This window comes from Homo sapiens, chromosome 12 (genome assembly GCF_000001405.40).
Source record: "Homo sapiens chromosome 12, GRCh38.p14 Primary Assembly".
Lineage (NCBI taxonomy): Eukaryota > Metazoa > Chordata > Mammalia > Primates > Hominidae > Homo > Homo sapiens.
The window spans coordinates 30,272,825-30,298,526 of NC_000012.12; the positions used below are offsets into that span (position 1 = coordinate 30,272,825).

General features: G+C 40.2%; 1 long non-coding RNA gene across 1 annotated transcript in view; it reads right to left on the reverse strand.

The window, feature by feature from the left end:
* Positions 1 to 23,883, reverse strand: part of LINC02386 (long intergenic non-protein coding RNA 2386) — a 65,929-nt gene extending 42,046 nt beyond the window's left edge. The window contains exons 1-2 of the long non-coding RNA NR_183469.1: positions 23,794 to 23,883; positions 15,585 to 15,639 (exon numbers count right to left, since the gene is read on the reverse strand). This is a non-coding gene — a long non-coding RNA (long intergenic non-protein coding RNA 2386). The remainder of the gene's footprint in view (positions 1 to 15,584; positions 15,640 to 23,793) is intronic.
* Positions 23,884 to 25,702: the final 1,819 nt, after the last annotated feature.

The window sequence follows — 25,702 nt, forward strand, 5'->3', positions numbered from 1 at the left end:
AGCCACCAAGGCTTGGAGTTTGCACCCTCTCAAGCAATGTCCTAAACTGTATGTTGCTCCCTTTCAGCTATATCTTGAGCTGAAACAGCTGGGACAAAGGGCACCATGTCCTGAGGCTACATAGAGCAGGGGGGCCCTGTGCCTGGCCCACAAAATCACTTTTCCCTCCTAGGCCTCCAGGATTGGAGGGGCTGCCATGAAGTTCTCTAACATGCCCTGGAGGCATTTCCCCCATTGTCTTCGTGATTAACATTTGATTCCTCATTACTTATGCAAATTTCTACAGCTGGCTTCAATTTCTCCCTAGAAAATGGGTTTTTCTTTTCTACTGCATCATCAGGCTGTAAATTTTCCAGCCTTTTATGTTCCACTTCCTCTTGAATGCTTTGCTGCTTAGAAATTTCTTCTGCCAGATATTCTAAATCATCTCTCTCAAGTTCAAAGTTCTACAGATCTCTAGAACAGGGGCAAACTGCTGCCAGTCTCTTTGCATAGCAAGAGTAGCCTTTACTCCAGTTCCAAACAAGGCCTTCATTCTTGCATAGCAAGAGTGACCTTTAGTCCACTTCCCAACAAGTTCTTTACTTCACACCACCTTAGCCTGGACTTCATTGCCCATATTACTATCAGCATTTTGGCCAAAATCATTCGACATGTCTCTAGGAAGTTCCAAACTTCCCCACATCTTTCTGTCTTCTGAGCCCTCCAAGTCTCTAGGAACTTCCAAATCATCCCACATTTTTCTATCTTCTTCTGAGCCCTCTAAACTGTTCCAACCTCTCCTGTTACCCAGTTCCAAAGTCACTTCCACATTTTCAGGTATCTTTACAGCAGTGCCCCACTCTATGTGGTACCAATTTATTGTACTATTTCCTTCTCATGCTACTATGAAGAAATACCTGACACTAGGTAATTTAAACAGGCAAGAGTTTTAATTGACTCATAGTTCCACTTGGCTGAGAAAGCCTCAGGAAACTTACAAGCATGGCAGAAGGGGAAGTAAACACATTCTTCTTCACAGGAGAGAGAAGTGCTGTGCAAACGGGGAAAAAGCCCTTATGAAACCATCACATCTTGTGAGAACTCACTATTACAAAGACAGCATGAGGGTAACCATCCCCATGATTCAATTACCTCCCACCAGGGCGCTCCTATAACACATGAGGATTATGGGAACTACAATTCAACGTGAGATTTGGGTGAGGACCCAGCCAAACCATATAAAATATTAAGTGGACAAAAAATAACTTCAGTAGACTATATATAAATATTAAAGACTATATTAAAGAATACAATTGAGTGGACACCTATTAGACTACATTAAAGAATACAATAGAGTGGACACCTTTGTATTATGTCCTTCCCCAATTCTATTCCCTTCTCAAACTCCATGTTTATGATTGTGTTATTTTCTTTCTTGTCTTTATTGTTTACACGTATTTGTGCCTCTAAACATTATACAGTTTTTTTATGCATGTTTTTGAGACACATACAGATGAAATCACACTTTGGAAACTTAGTTTTCCCACTCAGCTTTATACCCTTGAGATTCATGTATGTATTTATGTAGCTGAAATTTGTTAAATCCTACTTCCTTATGAATGTATTCAACCCATGTTTGACTATATCACTATTTATCCATAATTATTGCTGACTAAAAGGGTCAAACTCTGTAAAATATTGAAGAGCCAAATACAAGAACCATGACCCATGAGTGACACAGCCCCAGGAGATCCTGAGAACATGTGCCCAAGTTGGTCAGGCTGTAGCTTGAGCTTGATTTTATACATTTTAGGGAGACCTAAGATATCAATCAATACATTAAGATGTGCATTCGTTTGGCCAGAAAGGCAGGACACCTTGAAGCTGGGTGGGGGGTGGGGCCTCCAGGTCATAGGTGGATTCAAAGATGTTCTGATTGGCAATTGGTTGAAAGAGTTTCACTAAAGACCTGGAATCAGTTGAAGAGAGTGGCTGGGTTGAGATAAGGAGCTGTGGAAACCAAGGTTCTTATGCAGATGAAGCCTTCGGTAGCAGGACATAGAAAGAATAGATTGTAAATGTTTCTTATCAGGCTTAAAGGGTGTCAGACTCTTAGTTAATTCTCTCCTGAAACGGAAAAAAAAAACCTGGAAAGGGAAGAGAATACCCTACAGAATGTAGATCTTCCCCACAAGAGAAAGCTTTGCAGGGCCATTTCAAAATATGTCAAAGAAATACATTTTGCGTGAAAAGATGCTTGATTTTTTTAGGGCCTGCTGTCTGTCATGCTGGTATCTTATTGCTACAGGGAGTCTGTTTTGTCAGTTTTAAGGTCTCTGTGTTAATGTTCATGTTAATGTTAATGACTAATATTAATATTAGTCAGCTGTGCCTGAATTTCAAAGAGAGAAAGGTATAATGAAGCATGTCCAACCACCCATTCCCATCATGGCCTGAGCTAGTATTTCAGGTTTACTTTAGAATGCCCTTGCCCAGGAAGAAGGGTCCATTCAGCTTATTGGGAGGCTTAGAATTTTACACTTGGCTTACAATTCTATAAGTAAATCTTCAGGTTTTCAAATTTTTGTTGTCACAAACACTGCTGTTATGAACAAGATCTACAAGTCTTTAAGGCTTAAGACTTTTTTTAAGAAATATTTCAAGGAGTGACATTTCAGGGAACAGGGAATGGATTTCTTTATTACTAAGTAAGCCAAATGTTTCCCAAAGCAGTTGCTCCAATATATATTGGATCAGCAGAGTGTGCGATCAAATGGTGTCAAATTTTAAAATATCACCAAGTTGGTGGGTGCAAAATGGAGTCTCACTGTGGTTCTAGTTAATTATTTTCCTGAATTCTAATGATGCTGAACATATTTTTCTTTATTATTGGTTATTTAATTTGCACTACATAAAGTGCCTATTTTTCTATTGAACTGTGAAAATTTAAAATTTTTATCGAATGAAATGCCCAGTTTGTATAGTATGATCAATTTTTACCATGCCTACTTCCCTGTAACTCACACATCTACCAATTTAGAAACTATTTCCTTACCTAAAAGTTTCCTTGCATTATTTCTCAACAGATTCCTTCACTCCAAAAGTAACCACTGATCTGATTTCTACCATCACAAAACAGTTTTATCTGCTCAAGAATCTCAAATAAGTGGAATCATATGATATGTAATTTTTTATGTTTTGCTTTCTTCACTTAGCATGATGTTTTTGAGATTCATGAATGTTGACGTGCTTCTTTGAAAATCTTTTTTTATCACTAAGTAGTTCTCTTTGTTCAAATGTATAAACACATAGATTGTTTTTGGTTTTTAGCAATCATGAATAAAGCTGCAAGGAACATTTTTCTACAAGTTTTTGGTAAATAAGAACTCTTTCAATATCCTTCTCTGCTAATTCTAACATCTGCGTCAGTTCTAGGTGGATTTTAATTGAGTGATTCTTCTCTGCATTATGAGTTATGTGTTCTTGCCTCTTTGCCTGCCTGGTAGTCTTTTATTACATGACAGATATTGTTGGGCAATGAAAATTTTTGTATTTCCATAGATTTTCTTGAGCTTTGTTTTACTATACAGTTAAGTTACTTGAAACATTTCGCTGTTTTCAGGTCTTACTCTTGTGATTTTTAGGCATTTCTGAAACAGAGCCCAGTCTAAGGTTAATTATTCTTCACTTGTGAGGCAAAATATTCCTGAGAACTTTGCCCACTGCCTTGAGCATTATGTTTTTCCTGTCTGCTTGGTGGGAGCAGGCATTTTTTCCAGGCCAGCATCAGCACCGTCTCTGTTCCCTCTTTTGATGATTCTTTCCTGGGTAGCTTCCTCACTCATGTGCTGATTCCCATCAGAGTCCCTCTGCAGATCTCTGGAGTTGGCTGTCTGTGCAGCTCTCTCCTCTCTGGAACTCTCCCCTGTGAACTCTCACTGCCCAGGTCTTCCAGGACCAAGCTTCATCTCCTCATGTTAGGGAACCCACCTCAGTTCTGCCTCCCGGCACCGCAGCCTAGAAACTCTCTCAAGGCTGTTAGCTGGGGCAGTTGTAGGGCTTATCTTGTTTGTTTCCCATCCCTCAGAGATCACCTGTTGATTAATGTATTTTGCTGTTGTTTCAGGCAGAGAATATATCTGGTCCCTATTACTTTGACCAGATCCACGAATATTTTGAATCATATATTCATATTTTGAATCATAACCTCTCAGGTTTGCCACCCTGGGAGGTTATTTCCCTCCAGGGAAGGGGGTCATTGTTAACTTCAGGATGTAAGAGACATATGCCCTTCTTTAAAAGAAGAAATTGCTAATGGAGGTAGGTAGTGGAAAGAGCCAGAACGACACCGTGACAGCACCACTCTTCAGGGTGAGGGACATTTCCAGGGGTTCTCTCTTCTCCCTGAGTGTCAGAATCAGGAAGTCATCCTGCTCAGCATCTGCTGGCATGAGCTTTTGTTGTGGTCCCTGCTGAGGGTTGAGGGCCTGGAGAAAGTTCTGTTTTTTGTTGTTTTTTGACAGAGTCTCACTCTGTCACCAGGCTGGAGTGCAGTGGTGTGATCTCTGCTCACTGCAACCTCTGCCTCCTGGATTCAAGTGATTCTCCTGCCTCAGCCTCCTGAGCAGCTGGGACTACAGTTGCTTGCCACCACACCCAGCTAATTTTTGTATTTTTTTAGTAGAGACGGGGTTTCACCATGTTGACCAGGATGGTCTCGATCTCTTGACCTCGTGATCCGCCCGCCTCAGCCTCCCAAAGTTCTGGGATTACAGGTGTGAGCCACCGTGCCCGGCTGAGAAAGTTCATTCTTAGTAGGAGGAAATGGAGTTGGAAAAAGAGTGTTTCTCTTTAAAGTTGGGCGCATGATAGAGTGAAACATTTGTCTTGAGGTGTCAACCTCTTTGCACACCTTAATATTTTTGCCAGCATTTTTACCTAAGAAGTAGTTTGCACACACAGCACAATAGTATTGGTAGTGGTTTCACCTGGTGTAAGATGAATGATCTGAAATGAATGTGCTCGCTAATCTGGGGGATTTTCCTCCAGATCAAATTTGCTTGAGGGGAAATCCACATTATGTTGGACAGAGGTGTCCTCTCATAAAGAGCCTCCCAGGGATGAACTGCTGATGCAAGGCTGCCCTGTAAAGTGACTCTAGGAACATTTTCCCCAGTGCATTAGAAATTTCAGCATCTCTTTAAAGTCCTGCCTCAGGGACCCAAATCTTTGAATATCTCCCACATCTGCTCCAACAATTCAGTCCTCTTCACTTCATTATAGCAGTGTTAGAAATATAGTCCCATTTGCAGTTTGCAACTTGAATTAAACCAATAATACAAACATCCTAGAACAATGCATTTAAATTTTTGGTATTACAAGATGAAATATGCAGACCAGTTTCAGCAAGTTTGAGAGAATAGAAATGTATAGTGCTAATGCAGCCTCTGGAATCAATAAACCTGGTTTTATTTCAGTAATCCCTTATAATTTCCCCTTCTAAATCACAGCATGAAACTAGTTACTTCTCTATCTTGTAAAATATTCACATTTGTATTTCCTACCCTGAAAATAATATTCTAAGGATTCAGGTAGATTATGCCAAGCACATTTGAGATCCAGATTGATAACAAACATTGAGCATTTTCCTCATTTGGTTTTCCAGTCACAGGGTTTCTGAGAGATCCCTGAAATGGGAGCATGGTTCCAATGACTGAAAAGAAAGAGCAGCCTGCAGACTAACTGGCATGCAGCTTGGGCCAAGAACTGCCAAAATGACCTAGAAAGGATCTGCTGTGTCCTGACAGGCCTGGAAATTTCCTGCAGATTCTGGCAAGGTGGTACAGGCTGTGTCTGGAGCTCAATATGAAAACCAGTTAGATTGTGGCAGCTGCTGATTAAAGAACATTGCTCCCTAGAAAGGGTGTGGAAAAATGAGAAGGGTGGAAATCTGCTATAAACTGCTTCACAAAAGAGGGAAAAGAGTATCATTGAACTTTATGTCAGTGAAGGATCTTTCCCGTTTGCAGAAAACTTATCAAAATAACCTCTCTTGGGCTTATCACATCCTACTGTTGACCCTTCTTCTAGCAGCTTAAACTTTTCATGTCTGTTAAAGAGGATTATCTCTCTTTTCATATCATTTTATTCCTATACATGATGATGGTGAGGCATTTTATACTTTACACATATTTCATGCTTTATGTACATCATATCATTAAAATATCACAGTGATATGGTTTGGCTGTGTCCCTGCACAAATTTCAACTGGAATTGTATCTCCCAGAAGTCCCACGTGTTGTGGGAGGGACCCAGGGGTAGGTAATTGAATCACCGGGCCTGGTCTTTCCATGCTATTCTTGTGACAGTGAATAAGTCTCATGAGATCTGATGGGTTTATCAAGGGTTTCCACTTTTGCTTCTTCCTCATTCTCTCCTACTGCCACCATGTATGAAATGCCTTACACCTCCTGCCATGATTCTGATGCCTCCCCCAACCATGTGGAACTGTAAGTCCAATTAAACCTCTTTTTCTTCCCAGTCTAGGGTATGTCTCTATCAACAGCTTGAAAACAGACTAATACAGCAAATTGGTACCAGTAGAGTGGGACATTGCTGAAAAGATACCTGAAAATGTGGAAGCGACTTTGGAACTTGGTAACAGCCAGAAGTTGAAACAGTTTGGAGGGCTCAGAAGAAGAAAGGAAAATGTAGGAAAGTTTGGAATTTCCTGGAGACTTGTTGAATGGCTTTCACCAAAACACTGATGATATGAACAATAAGATCCAGGTTGAGCTGGTCTTAGATGGAGATGAGGAACTCATTGGGAACTGGAGTAAAGGTGACTCTGGTTATATTTTAGCGAAGAGACTGGTGACATTTTGCCCCTGCCCTAGAGATTTGCGGAACTTTGAACTTGAGAGATACTATTTAGGGTAACTGGAGGAAGAAATTTCTAAGCAGCAAAGCATTTAAATGTGACATAGGTGCTGTTAAAAGCATTCTGGCCAGGCGCTGTGGCTTACACCTGTAATCCCAGCACTTTGGGAGGCCAAGGCGGGAGGATCATCAGGTCAGGAGATCGAGACCAGCCTGACCAACATGGTGAAACCCCGGTTCTACTAAAAATACAAAAAAATTTAGCCAGGTGTGGTGGGGTGCACCTGTAGTCCCAGCTACTCAGGAGGCTGAGGCAAGAGAATCGCTTGAACCCATGAGGCAGAGGTTGCAGTGAGCCCAGATTGAGCCACTGTATTCCAGCCTGGGCGACAGAGCGACACTGCATCTCAAACAAAACAAACAAACGAACAAAGCATTCCATTTTAAAAGGGAAACAGAGCATAATAGTTCAGAAGATTTGCAGCCTGACGATTCAGTAGAAAAGAAAAACCCATTTTTTTGAAGTGAAATTCAAGCCAGCTGCAGAAATTTACATAAGTAGCAAGGAGCCTAATGTTAATCCCCAAGACCATGGGGAAAATGTCTCCATGCCATGTCAGAGACCTTCATGGCAGGCCCTCCCATCACAGACCCAGAGGCCTAGGAGGAAAATATGGTTTCCCGGGCTAGGCACAGGGTCCCTGTGGTGTGTGCAGCCTAGAGATTTGGTGCCCGGTGTTTCAGCTGCTCCAGCCGTGGCTGAAAGGGGCCAACATAAAGCTCAGGCTGTGGCTTCAGAGGGTGGAAGCCCCAAGCCTTGGCAGCTTCCATGTCGTGTTGAGCCTGCGGGTACACAGAAGTTAAGAACTGAGGTTTGGGAACCTCTGCCTAGATTTCAGAAAATGTATGGCAATGCCTGGATGCCCAGGCAAAAGTTTGCTGCAGGTATGGGGCCCTCATGAAGAACCTCTGCTAGGGCAGTGCAGAAGAGAAATATGGGGTTGGAGCCTCCACATAGAGTCCCTACTGGGGCACCATCTAGTGGAGCTGTGAGAAGAGGGTCACCATCCTCCAGACCCTAGAATGGTAGATCCACCAACAGCTTGTACCATGCACCTGGAAAAGTCACAGACACTCAACGCCAGCTCATGAAAGCAGCCAGAAGGGAGGCTGTACCCTGTGAAACCGCAGGAGTGGAGCTGCCCAAGGCCATGGGAACTCACCTCTTGCATCAGTGTGACCTGGGTGTGAGACCTGGAGTCAAAGGAGATCATTTTAGAGCTTTAAAATTTGACTGCCCAGCTGGATTTCAGACTTGCCTGGGTCCTGTTATCCCTTTGTTTTGGCCAATTACTTCCATTTGGAACATCTGTATTTACCAAATACCTGTACCCCCATTGTATCTAGGAAGTAGAGCTTGCTTTTGATTTTACAGGCTCATAGGCAGAAGAGACTTGCCTTTTCTCAGATGAAACTTTGGACTGTGGACTTTTGGGTTAATGCTGAAATGAGTTAAGACTTTGAGGAACTGTGGGGAAGGCATGATTGGTTTTGAAATGTGAGGACATGGGTTTGGAGGGGCCAGGGGCAGGATGATATGGTTTGCCTGTGTCCCTGCCCACATTTCCACTTGAATTGTATCTCCCAGAATTCCCACAACACGTGGGACCCAGGGGGAGGTAATTGAATCATGGGGGCTGGTCTTTCTCTTGCTAGTCCAGTGACTAATTCTCATGAGATCTGATGGGTTTATCTGGGTTTCTGCTTTTGCTTCTTCCTCATTCTTTCTTGCTGCCGCCATGTAAGAAGTGCCTTTTGCCCTCCACCATGATTATGAGACCTCCCCAGCCATGTGGAACTGTAAGTCAAATTAAACCTTCTTTTTTTCCAGTCTCAGGTATGTCTTTATCAGCAGTGTAAAAATGAACGAATACACATAGCAACACTAAGTAATCTATCTTGCAGGTAAGTGTACAGTAAAGAACTAAAAATTAAGTTATTAAAAGCATGTATTGAAAAGTAGATCTGAAAAAGTCTTTAAATTTTAAGCACATTTTGGAAAGCAGGTGAATAGCTACAAAAAATGTCTCCCATTTGTGATTGGCTCCATTACCATCCAACATTTGAATTTCTCTAAAAGAAAGAACAGAAAAAAGATAGACAGTCTCAGACATTTGGGGGAATTTCTTTGCTTTTTTCCAGGTTTTATTTTTCTCCTTTTTGTTAATGAGTGTGGGGGTGTATCTGTGAAAATTTTTCCCAAAACTTTTCATCCAATGTACTTTATTTTACTCGACTCCAAAGCCTATATCCTTAAAATGGCATACTAAAGTCTGAAATTTCTCTGCAAATATTGAAACGTCTTTTTTTTTACCTTTATACTCACAATTTCTCTTTGTTATAGATGGTACAGAGATTATTTTTATTCTCTGTTAGTGAAAAAAAAATAAATGCTATTTTAAAAATATTTTTCTTCTTCTGGGTTTCAACACTTGTTCCATATGCTTTCTTATTACTTTTTCTCTCAGTTGCAGAACTAGATGGAAAGAATATGCTTTTTGCAAAAACAGTTATTTGTCTCCATTCCCATGTTTCTGTTTATAACAAAAAGAATCTTAGCTTACTCACTCATAGGAAAATCAAGATAAATTTTTGCTGGGATATTATTGCTGATTTACAGTGTTGATTTGATTTTCAAATATTCAAACATCTTGGATTTGTCTTGCTTTAGATATTTCTCCTATTAGGCATCTCCTGGAAAACAGATACTAGTTTAAGGGCTCAAAACAATCTAACTCTACGCAGGCATTAGAGGTAAAGGCCCTCAGTTCTGGGGACATTGATCATTGACTGGGGCTACACGGCTTTTCATGGGTCCCATTTTGACTGTCTGCAACATTTTTTGTTATCAGAATTCCAAAGAGGTACCTGAAAGGTTATGAGCAAGGGCTTTGGATTTCTTCTAAAATCACTTCCAATCAAATCATTTGCTTCTAAACTGTCATTGCTTACTAATACTCCCTGTACATTTCACATTCCTCTATTCAGTAAATAAATTGCATTAAATTTGTGAGAATTTTCTTGAAATTTTGTCCTTACTCCTTACTCAATTACATGTAAATCCTTACTCTGCTAGGCACTGTGCCAAAGCAATAAACCATGTCCTCTCAGACTAAACCAGGTCACTTCATTGTACATCACTATGGCATCCATACCTTTCTGCTATAACATGCATCAAACTTTGCAGTTATGAGCAGGTTAACACCAGGGTTTAGCTTTCACAAAGCTTGATGGAGAATTAGTCTCACCAGGCTTCCAGTGGGTGGGTGGATCCTCAGGGCATACATCTAAAGGAGCCTTCTTACTCTTTGACAGATGAGGCTTGGGTCTCTGGCAGAAGTTGGAGCTGACTTGTATCTGGATGGGTCACTTTGGTTCTGGGAATAGACTACCAACTCTACACTTGGGGTTAGCGAACTACAGCCAAGTCCTGTTTTATTAGAATACAGCCATGCTCCATTTATGTATTGTCTATTGTTGCTTCAGCAAGTTGAGTAGTTGCAAAAGAATATATGGTCTGCAAAACCTAAAACATTTACTCTCTGGTTCTTTATGGAAAAGGTTTGCTGAGCCCCACTCTAAAATAGCAGGCAGCTTTCTTGGAAATAGTTCAGGCCCAGTCTATATGTGCGGAATAGGTTAGGCTAACCTCTGAAGCTGGATCTCCAAAAACTCAATTCCATCTCAGGTCTTGTAAATCTATTAGTCACTAAACTTGTTAACATGTATATGGTTATATGCTATGAACTTGACGTTGTGGTGCCAGGCTTGGATTGGTCTTCCATGAGTGGTCTATGGGCTCTGCCACTTGCTGCTAGAGACCCCTTCCACAGTCAGTCCTAAGAATGTTATTCCTTGCTCTGCAACGTTAAGCAGCTCTCTGTTGCTACCTGATGACATTCACATGCCTTAACCTGACCTTCTCCACATGTGGACCTACTGCACCTTCCCAGCCTTAGTTTCCACCTCTCACCAAATACCTGTTAAATGCTTCAGCCAAACCTGACTACTTAACACCTGTCAAACATACTTTCTCCACCTTGGTAACCAAATCATTTTGGGACCATTTAATCACATTCAGCTTCCTGTTGTTGTTTATTTGGGTTCTTGTCTCATGTACCCTACCGGGTTTTAAACTTTGTGCGAACAAGTTCCATATCTCCACTCATTTTTATATGCTCAGTAAAGCTGGCTGTTAGGAGGGACTTAGTGATGATTGAGGCCATTGATCGTTAGCACTGTTTCTTGAATTTGTTTGACCCTCAGGAATATTCACCTTTGGATGCTTTCAGTTAATTTAGAGTCTAGTGTATTAATATTTGTATCCCAGCATCGAATATCTGGCACATAGTAAGTGAATGAAAAATAATGAATAAAAGAAGGAATGATCCCAAGTATTCCTACGAGGTGAGAAGAAAGTGGTCCTATTTACTAGGAGTGTTAGGGAAGCATTTGGGATCGTCGGCTCTGCTGCTGCATGATAGGTTTGGGACTCCGAAGACTGGCATTTCCTCCTTCTAAACTTGGAATTTCAATACATTACTATGAGGAAGACAAAGGTACATGGGACAGGGCCCTTCATCTAAATAATATACCTCCTTGGGGTGTGATTAATTGAAAGGGACTATAAAAAGCTAAAAACAATGTTTGAGTGCTATCTGTCAGCCATAGTGATAAAGCACTCTATATACATGGTCTTATTTACTACTAACTACAAATGCATGAAGTTGATTTTTAGAAAAACTTTCTGCTATGGAGCACTTTAAACAAGACACTAGTGTGATAAGTTTTCACATACTCATCACCAGATTCAACATTTATTGATTCATGGCCAATCTTGTTTAATGTATGCTTCCACCCACTTCTCCTCCTCCCTTGTTATTTTGAAGCAAATCTCAGACATCATATAATTTCATCTTTAAATATTTTGATATGCATATGTAATAGAAAGAACTCTACTTTTTTCTTTTTAAGACAGGGTCTAACTCTGTCACCCAGGTTGGAGTGCAATGGCGTGATCATAGGTCACTGCAGCATCAATCTCCTGCCAGGGTCAAGCAGTTCTCCTTTCTCAGCCTCCCGACTAGCTAGGACTACACCACACCTGACTAACTTTTTATTTTTATTTTTGTAAAGATGGGGTCTTGCTGTTGTGCTCAGGCTGGTCTCAAACTCCTGGCCTCAAGCAATCCTCCCGCCGCAACTTGGCCTCCCAAAGTGCTGGAATTTCAGGCATGAGGCACCACACCCAGGGAAAAAAAAACTAAAAAAAAAAACATAATCATAATACCATCATTAAGCCAACCACTCAGCATAACTATTCTTTAATATCAAATATCCTGTTATTGGATCCTGTTATCTCTAAATATCCATTAATTTTATATATTTTTGCTTGCTTGAATCAGGATCCAAATAAAATCCCACTTTATGATTGCTTGTCTTTGAACTTTTTTTGATCTACAGGCTTCTCCTTTCATCTCTTCTTTTTCTCCCTTGCAATTTGTTTATTGAAGAAACCAGGTTGTTTTCCTATATTTTGGATTTCGCTAAATACATCCTCACTATGCCATGTCTCAGAGTTTGGATTTTCCTGACTGTATGCTCATGAAGTTCTTTAACTTTTCCCTCACTTTCTTCTGTTCTCTGTATTTACTATAAATTAATAGTTTGATCCAAAGATTTGATCAAATTCAGGTTGGATTTGAAGAGCAGGGCAAAAAAAACTGTGCTAGGCTCTTCCATCAGGAGAAATGTAATGTCTAACTGTCTTCTTTTGGTGATGTTAGCATCCATTGATCAATTATGAATTGAAAAATAATGGCATTATTATATCATTCCTTCTTTATTTATTGGCTGTCATACTGTAGATACTGCTTTTTATAAATTATTGTTTTACCCAGTTGTACAATTTATATAGAAAAGACCAGATAGTTGAATTTTTCTTTTCAATATTTTTTTCAAAATGATGTCTTGTCTCATTTATATCCTACGATTGCGATGACTTTTATTTTTAAAAAATAATTATTATGAATGCAGAAATTTAAGCATATTTGACGTATTTCTATCCATTCCAATTATTATCCTTATCAATGTATAAAATATCCTATATTTGGTCAGAATGAGTCCCTTTAAATTTCCTCTTGAGACTTGTTGATATCATTCTAACAATCTTTGATAGAGTCCTTGCCATCTAGAGTGACAATGTGTTCTAGGCTTATCTTATGCATTTCTGGCTCAGACCTGAAATCAGCAATTTCTCCAAGAAGTTTTGGGGATTTTTTAGTGGTAGGTGGTATTTGGAGACCACAATCTTGGTGCTAGGGATAAATATTATAATTTTAAAACTTTTAAAAAATTAACGGCTTTATTAAGGTATAATTTATATACCATAAAATTCACCCATTTTAAGTGTGCAATTCAATTATTTTTAGTATATTTAGTGTGTTTATAGAAGTGTGCAACCATCACCAAAATCTACTTTTAGAACATTCTCCTCATCCCAGAAAGAAAACCTGTGCCCATTGAGTCACTTATCATTCTCAACTCAGCCCTAGGCAACCACTAATCTATTTTTCTCTGTATATGTATTAGGTGATTCTGTTTCAATATGTGTTCTTTTGTGTCTGACCTCTTTCAAGAAGCATTATGTTTTTGAGGTATATCAATGCTGTGGAGCATGTATCAGAACTTCCTTTTTATTGTAAACAGTATTTTATTGTATAGGTATACTACATGTCTTTCTCCATTCACCAGTTGGTAGGCGTTGGGTTTGTCTCCATCTGTTGGTTCTTGAGAATAGTGCTACTATGGACATTTACCTAAAAGATTTTGGTTGGACATATGTTTTCATTTCCCTTGGGTGTAGATACCTAGAAGTGAAATTGCTGGGTTTAAGGCAATTCTATATTTAACATTTTGAGAAATTATCATACTATTTTCCAAAAAATTGGCTACACCATTTTACATTCCCACCAGCAATGTATGAGAGTTTTGATTTTTTCACATCCTCTCCAACACTTGTTATCTTATTGTTGTCTTATTGTTTATAGTCAATCTAGTGGGTGTGAAGTGATATTGTGGTTTTGATTTGCATTTTGCTAGTAACAATAGTGTTGAGCATTTTTAAATGTGCTTATTGGTCATATCTTCTTTAGAGAAGTGTCTATTCAAAGTATTTTGCCCATTTTTAAATTGGATTATCTTTTAATATTGGATTGGAAGAGTCCTTCTGGATATGTCACTTATTAGATATCTGACTTATTTCTTCCCTTTTGTAGGTTGTCTTTCACTTTCCTGACCGTGTCTTTTGATGTGTAAAATTTGTAATTTGGCTTACGTTTAATTTGCTGGGTTGTTTTTCTTTTCTCACTTGTGTTTTGGATGCTGTGTCTAAGAAATCTTTGCCTAACCCAAGATCACAAAGATTTACTAGTATGTTTTCTTCTAAGAGGTTTATAGTTTTAGTCCTTACATTCAGGTCTGCGATCTGTTTTAGCTAATTTTTGTGTATGGTGTTAGGTAGGGACCCAAATTAATTTTTTGCAGATGGATATTCAATTGCCCCAGCACCATCTGTTGAAAATAGATTTTCTTTCCCATTTAATTTTCTTGACACCTTCATCAAAAATCAATTGACTGAAAATGAAAGGGGTTATTTCTGGGCTTTCAATTATATTCCATTGACCAATACATCTGTCCTTATGCTAGTACCATACTCTCTGTATTACCTTATCTTTGTAGTAAGTTTTGAAATTAGCATAAGTCTTTCAATCCTGTTCTTTTTCAGGATGGCTTTGGTTACTCTGTCTTTTGCATTTCCATATAAATTTTAGGATCAGCTCATCAATTTCTGCAGAAAAGCCAGCTGGGATTTAGACAGGCATTGGATTGAACCTGTAAGAATTTGGGGAGTATTGCCACGTTAATAATATTTAGTCTTCTAATCCATAAATGTGGGATGCCTTTCCATTTACTTGTCTTTAATTTCTTTCAGCAATGTTTTGAAGTTCTTAGTATACACACCTTGCTTTTGTTATATTTGTTCCTAATAGTTTATTCTTTTTGATGCTGTTGTGAATGAAATAATTTTCTTAATTTTATTTTCGAGTCTTCATTGCCGGTGTATATAAATACAATTGATTTTTGTATGTTTATTTTGTGAACTTTCTGAACTCATTTATTAATTCTAGGGGTTTTCTTAAGTGGATTCCTTCAGATTTTCTATGTATAAGATCATGTCATTTGTGAATAAGATAACTTTACTTCCTCCTTTCTAATCTGAATCCTTTTATAGATTCATTGCCTAATTGCCCTGACTAGAACCTTAGTAGGTGCTGAATAGACTGATAAACATTATCATCTTTATCTTGTTCTCAATCTAAGGGGGATAATATTCAGTCTTTCACCATGTGAAATATGTTAGCTGTAGGGTTTTCACAGATTTTTTTTATCATGTTGGTGAAGTTCCCTCCTGTTTCTTATTTGTTGAGGATTTTCTTTTCATGAGTGGATAGATATTGTTTTTATTCTTATTTACCTATAAGGAAACTAGTATTCAGGTGACCTGACTTCAAAGACCAAGTTCTTAATCATTGTGCTATCTCTATAGCACACTCTTCCATTTAATTTTCACTCTACCCCATCTCTGAATTCGTTTAGCTCACCTTGTTAATGTTGGTGTTCTCCAGGATTTTCAGCCCTTCCTCTGGTTATTCTCTCCTGAAGTGAGAGTATGGCTTCAATCATTCATTTGTAAGCTGATGACTACAAAATCTGTATCTCCTACCCTCACAGAGCTCTAGTACATCTTAAAGCTTCCAAGACTTTTCCACTTAGATATGTAAAGAACTTCCCAATCCATCATGTCCTAAAGTGCTCCATTACCCCCACTCTACTCAACTGGGCTCCACTTTCCAGCCTGAAACCTGGTGTGATCCTATAAGCTTCCCGGTCCTTGGTCCCTCTTCTCACTTTTTCTAATCAATTGCCAAGTTCTGCCTATTTTAACCACCAGAGCAGTCCGGTGGTTTTTGCAGTCCATTCTTTTCTCTTCACCTCCACTGCTACTATCTTGCTCCTGCTTCCAGTCTTGTTCCCCCTTAAATTCACCCCCCACATTACCAACAGAATGATTTCTCTGAATTACAGCTACTCTGACACTTAAATTCTTCAGAGATTTCCTATTCCCACAGCACAGCAAGCAAGGCCTTTCTTCAGAAGTTCCATTTTGTACACTAGGATCTTCCACCAAATATTAAAGTCATTAAATGCACATTAAGATATCAATTTTAATAGCTGCATGATACTTCCATCATTTGGAGATATTATAAATTATGTCACCAGAACTATTTCTACTTTCCTTTGCCTGTCATGTTGACTCATGCCTCAGTGCTTTTTGTTTATTCTGTTGTTTTGAGAGGTTCTTTCTCCTTCAACACCATCTGCTCTATTCCTTTACACCCTGAAAAGCCTGACCGACTAGACCCTCCTTTTTGAAACCTTCCCCTAACTCTTTCAGAGCTAATTATGCCTTCCTCTGTATTCTTTTCAGAATATTGCAGAAGCCTATAATATTTCATGTATTATCCTGTATTATAATTGTTGGTCATTTTTTTACTCTCACTCTAAGTTTGAGTACAGCATTTAAACTAGATTTATATAGAGTACTCCCACAATATCCAGCATATAGAAAATACTCAAAAAATTTTTGTTGAACTCTCCTAAATTTGGCTTTGTCTATAAACTTCCTTGCTTTTAATAGATCATTTTCTAATTTGTCAAAATTTAAATGCATTTTTAAGAGAACATACTTAAGAAATAATATTTTGAAAATTACAAAGTAACATATGTTTATTTTAGATTGCATGGAATACATAAGCTTGAGGTGAGTATTCCTGTGCAAGTGATTTTCCAAAGGAGCATGCTCAGAAGAAACTGGACTACAGTGAAGGGAGCAGGATAGGAAAGGGGAGAAACTAAGCAAAGATTTGGTCTGATCCCATGGGGAGCTCTGGAGGGAAATTGCACTACAGAACCTCTCCTGCCTTGAGACAAGCAATGGGGGCTCTTGTACCTAACCACCCTCACACATCTGTCCATTGTTGGCTTCCATGATTGGCATGAGGCACAAAGTGGAGAGGGAGAAATGCAACTTTCAGGCCCCACCAGGCAAGGAGGCCCCAAATAGCTCAGGGAAATGCTCCTGAGAAGGGTGCAGCCAAAGGGAAGGAATATATTAAACATTCTTAAAGAAAAGAATTTTCAACCCAGAATTTAATATCCAGCCAAACTAAGCTTCATAAGTGAAGGAGAAATAAAATCCTTTACAGACAAGCAAATGCTGAGAGATTTTGTCACCACCAGACCTGCCTTACAAGAGCTCCTGAAGGAAGCACTAACATGAAAAGGAACAATCAGTACCAGCCACTGCAAAAACATGACAAATTGTAAAGACCATCGATGCTGGGAAGAAACTGCATCAACTAACAAGCAAAATAACCAGCTAATATCATAATGACAAGATCAAATTTACACATAACAATATTAACCTTAAATGTAAATGGGCTAAATGCCCCAATTAAAAGACACGGACTGGCAACTTGGGTAGAGTCAAGACCCATCAGTGTGCTGTATTCAGGAGATGCATCTCATGTTCAGAGACATACATAGGCTCCAAATAAAGGGATGGAGGAAGATCTACCAAGCAAATAGAAAACAAAAAAAATCAGGGGTTGCAATCCTAGTCTCTGATAAAGCAGACTTTAAACCAACAAAGATCAAAAGAGACAAAGAAGGCCATTACATAATGGTGAAGGAATCAATTAAACAAGAAGAACTAACTGTCCTAAATATATATGCACCCAGTACAGGAGCACCCAGATTCATAAAGCAAGTCCTTAGAGACTACAAAGAGACTTAGACTCCCGCACAATAATAATGGGAGACTTTAACACCCCACTGTCAACATTAGACAGATCACTGAGACAGAAAGTTAACAAGGATATCAAGGACTTGAACCCAGCTCTGCACCAAACAGACCTAATAGACATCTATAGAACTCTCCACCCCAAATAAACAGAATATACATTCTTCTCAGCACCACATCGCACTTATTCCAAAATTGACCACATAGTTGGAAGTAAAGCACTCCTCAGCAAATGTAAAAGAACAGAAATCATAACAAACTATCTCTCAGACCACAGTGCAATCAAACTAGAACTCAGGATTAAGAAACTCACTCAAAACCGCTCAACTACATGGAAACTGAACAACCTGCTCCTGAATGACTACTGGGTACATAACGAAATGAAGGCAGAAATAAAGATGTTCTTTGAAACCAATGAGAACAAAGACACAACATACCAGAATCTCTGGGACACATTTAAAGCAGTGTGTAGAGGGAAATTTATAGCACTAAATGCCCACAAGAGAAACCAGGAAAGATCTAAAATCGACACCCTAACATCACAATTAAAAGAACTATAGAGGCAAGAGCAAACACATTCAAAAGCTAGCAGAAGGCAAGAAATAACTAAGATTAGAGCAGAACTGAAGAAGATAGAGACACAAAAAATCAATGAATCCAGGAGCTGGTTTTTTGAAAAGATCAACAAAATTGATAGACCTCTAGCAAGATTAATAAAGAAGGAAAGAGAGAAGAATCAAATAGACACAATAAAAAATGATAAAGGGGATATCACGACCAATCCCACAGAAATACAAACTACCATCAGAGAATACTATAAACACCTCTACGCAAATAATAAAAAATAAATAAATAAAAGAAAGAAAATCTAGAAGAAATGGATAAATTCCTAGACACATACACACTCCCAAGACTAAACCAGGAAGTAGTTGAATTCCTGAATAGACCAATAATAGGCTCTGAAATTGAGGCAATAACTAATCGCCTACTAACCAAAAAAAGTCCAGGACCAGACAGATTCGCACCGAATTCTACCAGAGGTACAGGGAGGAGCTGGTACCATTCCTTCTGAAACTATTCCAATCAATAGAAAAAGAGGGAATCCTCCCTAACTCATTTTATGAGGCTAGCATCATCCTGATACCAAAGTCTGGCAGAGACATAACCAAAAAAGAGAATTTTAGACCAATATCCCTGATGAATATCGATGCAAAAATCCTCAATGAAATACTGGCAAACCGAATCCAGCAGCACATCAAGAAGCTTATCCACCATGATCAAGTGGGCTTCATCCCTGAGATGCAAGGCTGGGTCAACATATGCAAATCAATAAACATAATCCAGCATATAAACAGAACCAAAGACAAAAACCACATGATTATCTCAATAGATGCAGAAAAGGCCTTTGACAAAATTCAACAACGCTTCATGCTAAAAACTCTCAATAAATTAGGTATTGATGGGACATATCTCAAAATAATAAGAGCTATCTATGACAAACCCACAGCCAATATCATACTGAATGGGCAAAAACTGGAAGCATTCCCTTTGAAAACTGGCACAAGACAGGGATGCCCTCTCTCACCACTCCTATTCAACATAGTGTTGGAAGTTCTGGCCAGGGCAATCATGCAGGAGAAGGAAATAAAGGGTATTCAATTAGGAAAAGAGGAAGTCAAATTGTCCCTGTTTGCAGATGACATGATTGTATATTTAGAAAACCCCATCGTCTCAGCCCGAAATCTCCTTAAGCTGATAAGCAACTTCAGCAAAGTCTCAGGATACAAAATCAATGTGCAAAAATCACAAACATTCCTACACACCAATAACAGGCAAAGAGAGAGCCAAATCATGAGTGAACTCCCATTCACAATTGCTTCAAAGAGAATAAAATACCTAGAAATCCAACTTACAAGGGATGTGAAGGACCTCTTCAAGGAGAACTACAAACCACTGCTCAATGAAATAAAAGAGGACACAAGCAAATGGAAGAACATTCCATGCTTATGGATAGGAAGAATCAATATCATGAAAATGGCCATACTGCCCAAGGTAATTCATAAATTCAATGCCATCCCCATCAAGCGACCAATTACTTTCTTCACAGAATTGGAAGAAACTACTTTAAAGTTCATATGGAACCAAAAAAGAGCCCGCGTTGCCAAGACAATCCTAAGCAAAAAGAACAAAGCTGGAGGCATCACGCTACCTGACTTCAAACTATACTACAAGGCTACAGTAACCAAAACAGCATGGTACTGGTACCAAAACAGAGATATAGACCAATGGAACAGAACAGAGCCCTCAGAAATAATACGACACATCTACAACCATCTGATCTTTGACAAACCTGACAAAAACAAGAAATGGGGAAAGGATTCCCTGTTTAATAAATGGTGCTGGGAAAACTGGCTAGCCATATGTAGAAAGCTAAAACTGGATCCCTTCCTTACACCTCATACAAAAACTAATTCAAGATGGATTAAAGGCTTAAATGTTAGACCTAAAACCATAAAAACCCTACAAGAAAACCTAAGCTATACCATTCAGGACATAGGCACGGGCAAGGACTTCATGTCTAAAACACCAAAAGCAATGGCAACAAAAGCCAACATTGACAAATGGGATCTAATTAAACTAAAGAGCTTCTGCACAGCAAAAGAAACTACCATCAGAGTGAACAGGCAACCTACAGAATGGGAGAAAATTTTTGCAATCTACCCATCTGACAAAGGGCTAATATCCAGAATCTACAAAGAACTTAAACAATTTACAAGAAAAAATAAAACAACCCCATCAGAAAGTGGGAAAAGAATATGAACAGACACTTCTCAAAAGAAGACATTTATGCAGCCAACAGACACATGAAAAAATGCTCATCATCACTGGTCATCAGAGAAATGCAAATCAAAACCACAATGAGATACCATCTCACACCAGTTAGAATGGTGATTATTAAAAAGTCAGGAAACAACAGGTGCTGGAGACAATGTGGAGAAATAGGCACACTTTTACACTGTTGGTGGGACTGTAAACTAGTTCAACCATTGTGGAAGTCAGTGTGCCGATTCCTCAGGGATCTAGAACTAGAAATACCATTTGACCCAGCAATCTCATTACTGAGTATATACCCAAAAGATTATAAATCATGCTACTATAAAGACACATGCATATGTATGTTTATTGCAGCCCTATTCACAATAGCAAAGACTTGGAACCAACCCAAATGTCCATCAGTGATAGACTGGATTAAGAAAATGTGGCACATATACACCACAGAATACTATGCAGCCATAAAAAAGGATGAGTTCATGTCGTTTGTAGGTACATGGATGAAGCTGGAAACCATCATTCTGAGCAAACTATCGCAAGGACAGAAAACCAAACATGGCATGTTCTTACTCATAGGTGGGAGTTGAGCAATGAGAACACTTGGACACGGGGTGGGGAACATCACACTCCAGGGCCTGTCATGTGGGTAGGAGAAGGAGGGACGAATAGCCTTAGGAGAAATACCTAATGTAAATGATGAGTTAATGGGTGCAGCACACCAACATGGCACACGTATACCTATGTAAAAAACCTGCACGTTGTGCACATGTACCCTAGAACTTAAAGTATACAGAAGAAAGAAAACAAAAACCCAGAAAGAAAGAAACACCAATGTAAAAAAAAACAAAAACAAAAACAAAAAAATAAACAAAGGGAAGGAATCTGAAACCTCAGGTCTGGACAGGGCACCAAACCACCTGCTAGAGTAGGGTAAAGTGCTCATAGACAGGGATCTTAGGGGTGAGTTGAAAGCAGGTGAGAGATTTATTCCACAACTGGTTCATTTTGTTCGCCTGCTGTGTCACACACTGTGCTAGTCACACTGGTGACAAACAAGGCAGACAGTACTCCTGAGCTTTGCTCCTGAGCTTTCTTCTGGCCACGGATATGGGGCGGTGGGGAGTCAGGAAGTAACCAAACAGATACATCAACAAGATCACCAGTGGATGGCGAGCTAGAGAGGAACCCAAGAAGCAAGGGAAATCTTGTGAGCCATTGTCTGAAAGATCTGGAGTCTGAGTTGTTGAGCTCCTTCTGTTTTCAGCTCTTTAGTATGTGAAGAATGATTCTCTGGAACCTATCCAGTCTTCATTCGATACCACCCTGAAAAAGTTGTCTCAGATATTAGCGCTCAGTTTACCCTACTTTCTGGCTGAGTTGGATGAGCAGTAGCCTTGTCAAAGCCTCTGGATCAAAGCCCTGGAAAGAAAAAGCACCACTTTTTAAGGTTGTCGAAAAGAAAAAAAAAATCTGGAATTGGCTACGAGACCTTCAAAACTTACTGCACCACTGGCACAATAGGAGGGTGAACATGAACAATGCTCCTCCTTCTGAAAAATAAGGAAGGTATGAACAAGGTCAACCATAAAAGGCACAAGGACCACAACATCTACCTGAAGAAGCTGGGTCTGTCTACAAACCAGTGGTGTGTCACTGTGAATATTTGGAGCTGGCGAAATGACCAGATCCCCAGAACCACTGGACACCCGGAGTGCTACTCCAGGCTCTGGAGGCCAATCTGCCCTCAGTGTTTATGGAACCCTGAGGTTTGTTGGTCTCCTAGTTTCAGAAATATCCTTACGATAAATCCCAACTGCTGAAGGTAACGCTGTGAGAGGGTCTCTGTGGTCCTGAGAGATCCTGACTGATACACAGGCTCTAAATGTGTAGGGGTCTGCAAACGACAGGTCAGGGAGGGCTGGAAGCAGGGTGAGCCACTACACTCCCACTTTTGACTTTTTTTCACTCCAGCCTGCCCTTCTCATTCCTGCCAAAATTACAGATTGCACCAGCCCAGAAGGAAGCCCTGAATTAAGGATTTGGGTCTCCATCCAATTTCAAAGTGCAGTCACTGAAACAGGTACTTCCGTCACTACCACTTGCTTCTCCATGAAGCAGAACAGTTCCTTCTGCTCCCCAAGCCCAGCTCCACTTGCTTCCAGTCTGCAGGAACTCAAGACATGGATCATCATCTCTTCCCTTTCAACTCCCAGGTTCTGCCAAGCATGGCCCTGATGGAAAGCCACGGCAGTGGAGTGGGAGTTGTCTCTTTTAACCAATCCTTTTCAGTAGCAGGTTTGAACTTACATCTTAAAAAACTCAAAAATATTTATTTTAGAAAGCAGGCTCCATGTCCCAAAGCCTGTGGCAAGTGGGAACTTAAGGTCCCTTGAAATCATCCAAGTGTGGAAGTGGTGATTTAGAGCTAAAGCAATGATCTAAATTCTCCAGGCTGAAGTTGAGCTGAAAGAGGGCCTCAGTTCTCTCCTTCTATCCCTGGGCCTTCTTCCCAAGCCACCCCTAGACACCCTGTCCACAGAAGCCGTGGTTTGTGACGGCACCTCACTCCTGCATTCTGAAAGATGCCATTTCACAATGGTTGCTCCCTTTACAACTGTCTCATGGCCCCCAACCGAACAAACTCCAGCGGACAGATTCATGCCAGCAACAGGTTCACAGCAGACTGTGGAGGTATAGAGCACATGAATCTCCCACTTACTGAGAAAAAAAGTGACAGAGAGCCTAGGGAAAGGAAACAGGGACCCACTCCCTGCTCCCTATTCCCCCCATCCCAGCCCCTCCCATCCATCCCCATTCCTTCCACCTGAGATCAGTGCTGAGCCCCCTAAGAAGCTCATTGAGTCTTTTGGAAATATAACAAAAGTGAGTACAATTGGTGCAATTGCAATGAGCCCCAGATGCCCAGGTCTGACATCCTCTGAATCACCCCCTCTCAAGGGTCTTCCAGGCAGCTGTCCTCACTCTGGCTTAAGTAAATTAAGTTAGATTTTGTGCCTTGCCTCTTGCTTTTAAGTTGACACTGACGCGAATAAATGGCCCATGAGAGGGTTTCCTAAGAGAGGAAGGAGGCTGTCTCAGAAGCAGGAGGAACTCACGTCTGCCGAGGACACAGTTATATCCAGTGAGGTCGGGGGCGGGCTGTTGACAGCTTCCATTAATTCCACTGGGACAGGCAAGCATCAACTGGCAGTTATTGGAGCTGAGGATGCTGGGATAGATTGTAAAGTGAACAGCTGGCCCTTCGATTGTAAGCCTAGCTTAAGGAAACAGAACTGCAGGGAGAGAGGAAAGAGCAGATTTTCATAAGATCTCTTGTTAGGCTTTGGTTTCCATATCCTTCCCCACAGCTTCAGCCCAAGCGCCCAGCAGCCCACCTGTTTGTCTTTTCCCAACTCCGCAAAGGTAGAGGCTCCTGTTGGTAAAGCGACAGCTGAGAAGTGGGAAAGATAAAGGTTACAAACACTGCCCCAGATAATCCACAAAAAGCTTTGCTGGAATCAGGTTATGCATCTCTGAATCTGAGCTAGATTTATTGGGTCAGGGACCATGCTTGCTTATTGGCTCAAGAACTGACTGAGGAGGTGTCTTAAGAAATGCTTGCTGGATGGATAAATAAACAGCTGAGTGTTTATCTGAGCCTGGAAACTGCCTGCACCAGCACAAAAGTAAAGCCCCAACACCCTTAGGCCACACCTGCTGGAAGGCTTCCTATCTGTCAGCCCCAAGAAGATGTAGGCAAGATGAGGCAAGTTCTGACCAACAAAGGAAACTGCCGTCCTTCTTTCCTGGCCTTTCTTCCACTGTGATGCCAAAAATCCCATCAAGTCCAGTTACCCAGACAGTGGGATGTAAGAGGAGTTTCCTGGAAATCTGGCTCTACCATTGCCCCCATGAGTATAATGGTGACAAGCTTGGGCCCTGAAATCAGAAAGCCCGAAGTTTGAAATCTCAGACTTCTTACTTGCTAGCTGTGAGACTTTGAGCAAATTACTCAATGTTTCTAAACCTTGATTTCCTCAATGGGTAAAATGGGGATAATATTGGGTAACACACTAACCACAATGTCAAGAATAGAGTTAGTGCTCAATAAACGTTTATCTCTATTCCCGTACACCCCATCCTGCTAATTCCCTTCTTTCTCTTCTTCCCCATAACTTCCAATAGCATCATTACCTATGAACAGAGGGTAGAATAATCACAAAACTGGAAAGTTTGGGACAGCCTAAAAGTTATTTACAAGTCTAAGAGCAACCACTGAGTCCTGCCCAATGGCCTGGCTTTTTAAAAAACACCTAATTAGGAGCCAGTGAGGTCCCTAAGCCCACACAATTTCCTAGAAATGACAGGGTATGTATTTACAAAATAACTCTTTACCCTTTAAAAGAGCACAAGTATTTTCTGCTCCCATGATATCTCAAGTGGCACCTAGATTGCTGAAGTTCTGTTATCCAATGAGTAGTGTCACTCAGAGAGGTGGTATGAGTGATTTAGAGTCTAGGTCTCTGAACTGGGATGAGCCATTTCTTCATGTCTTGGTCTCCAATGCATAAAATGAAGAGATTGGAGCAGATGATCACTAGAGAACCTTCCAATGTTAAGACTTAAAGTTTAAATGGTTTTATGATAGGGAGGGATTGTAGAAAAGTAAAACCCACAAAACTTAACCTCCCAGGAGGAAAATTAAAATATTTTAATTGGAAGTAAATGATAACGTGGCACAGTTTGATGTGAATGTAATGGCATAAGGAGGTCGGAGGTCCTGGGTGCCCTCTCACACTCATTCTCAGCACCAGATGTGGGGGCACCTGGAACAGCCTGTAGGGAGGCTAATAAATTCCACCCTCACTCCAGCTCTGAAGAAACCTCCATGGTAGAAAAAAACCAAAGAGCCCCTGAGTCTCTCTACTGCTTCAATGGCTACTCCTACTTTGGAAAGCAGAGAAGGAGGAAGACCCCAACATCTTCCATCAGTGCTGAAGACACCACCCAATCCCTCCACACCTC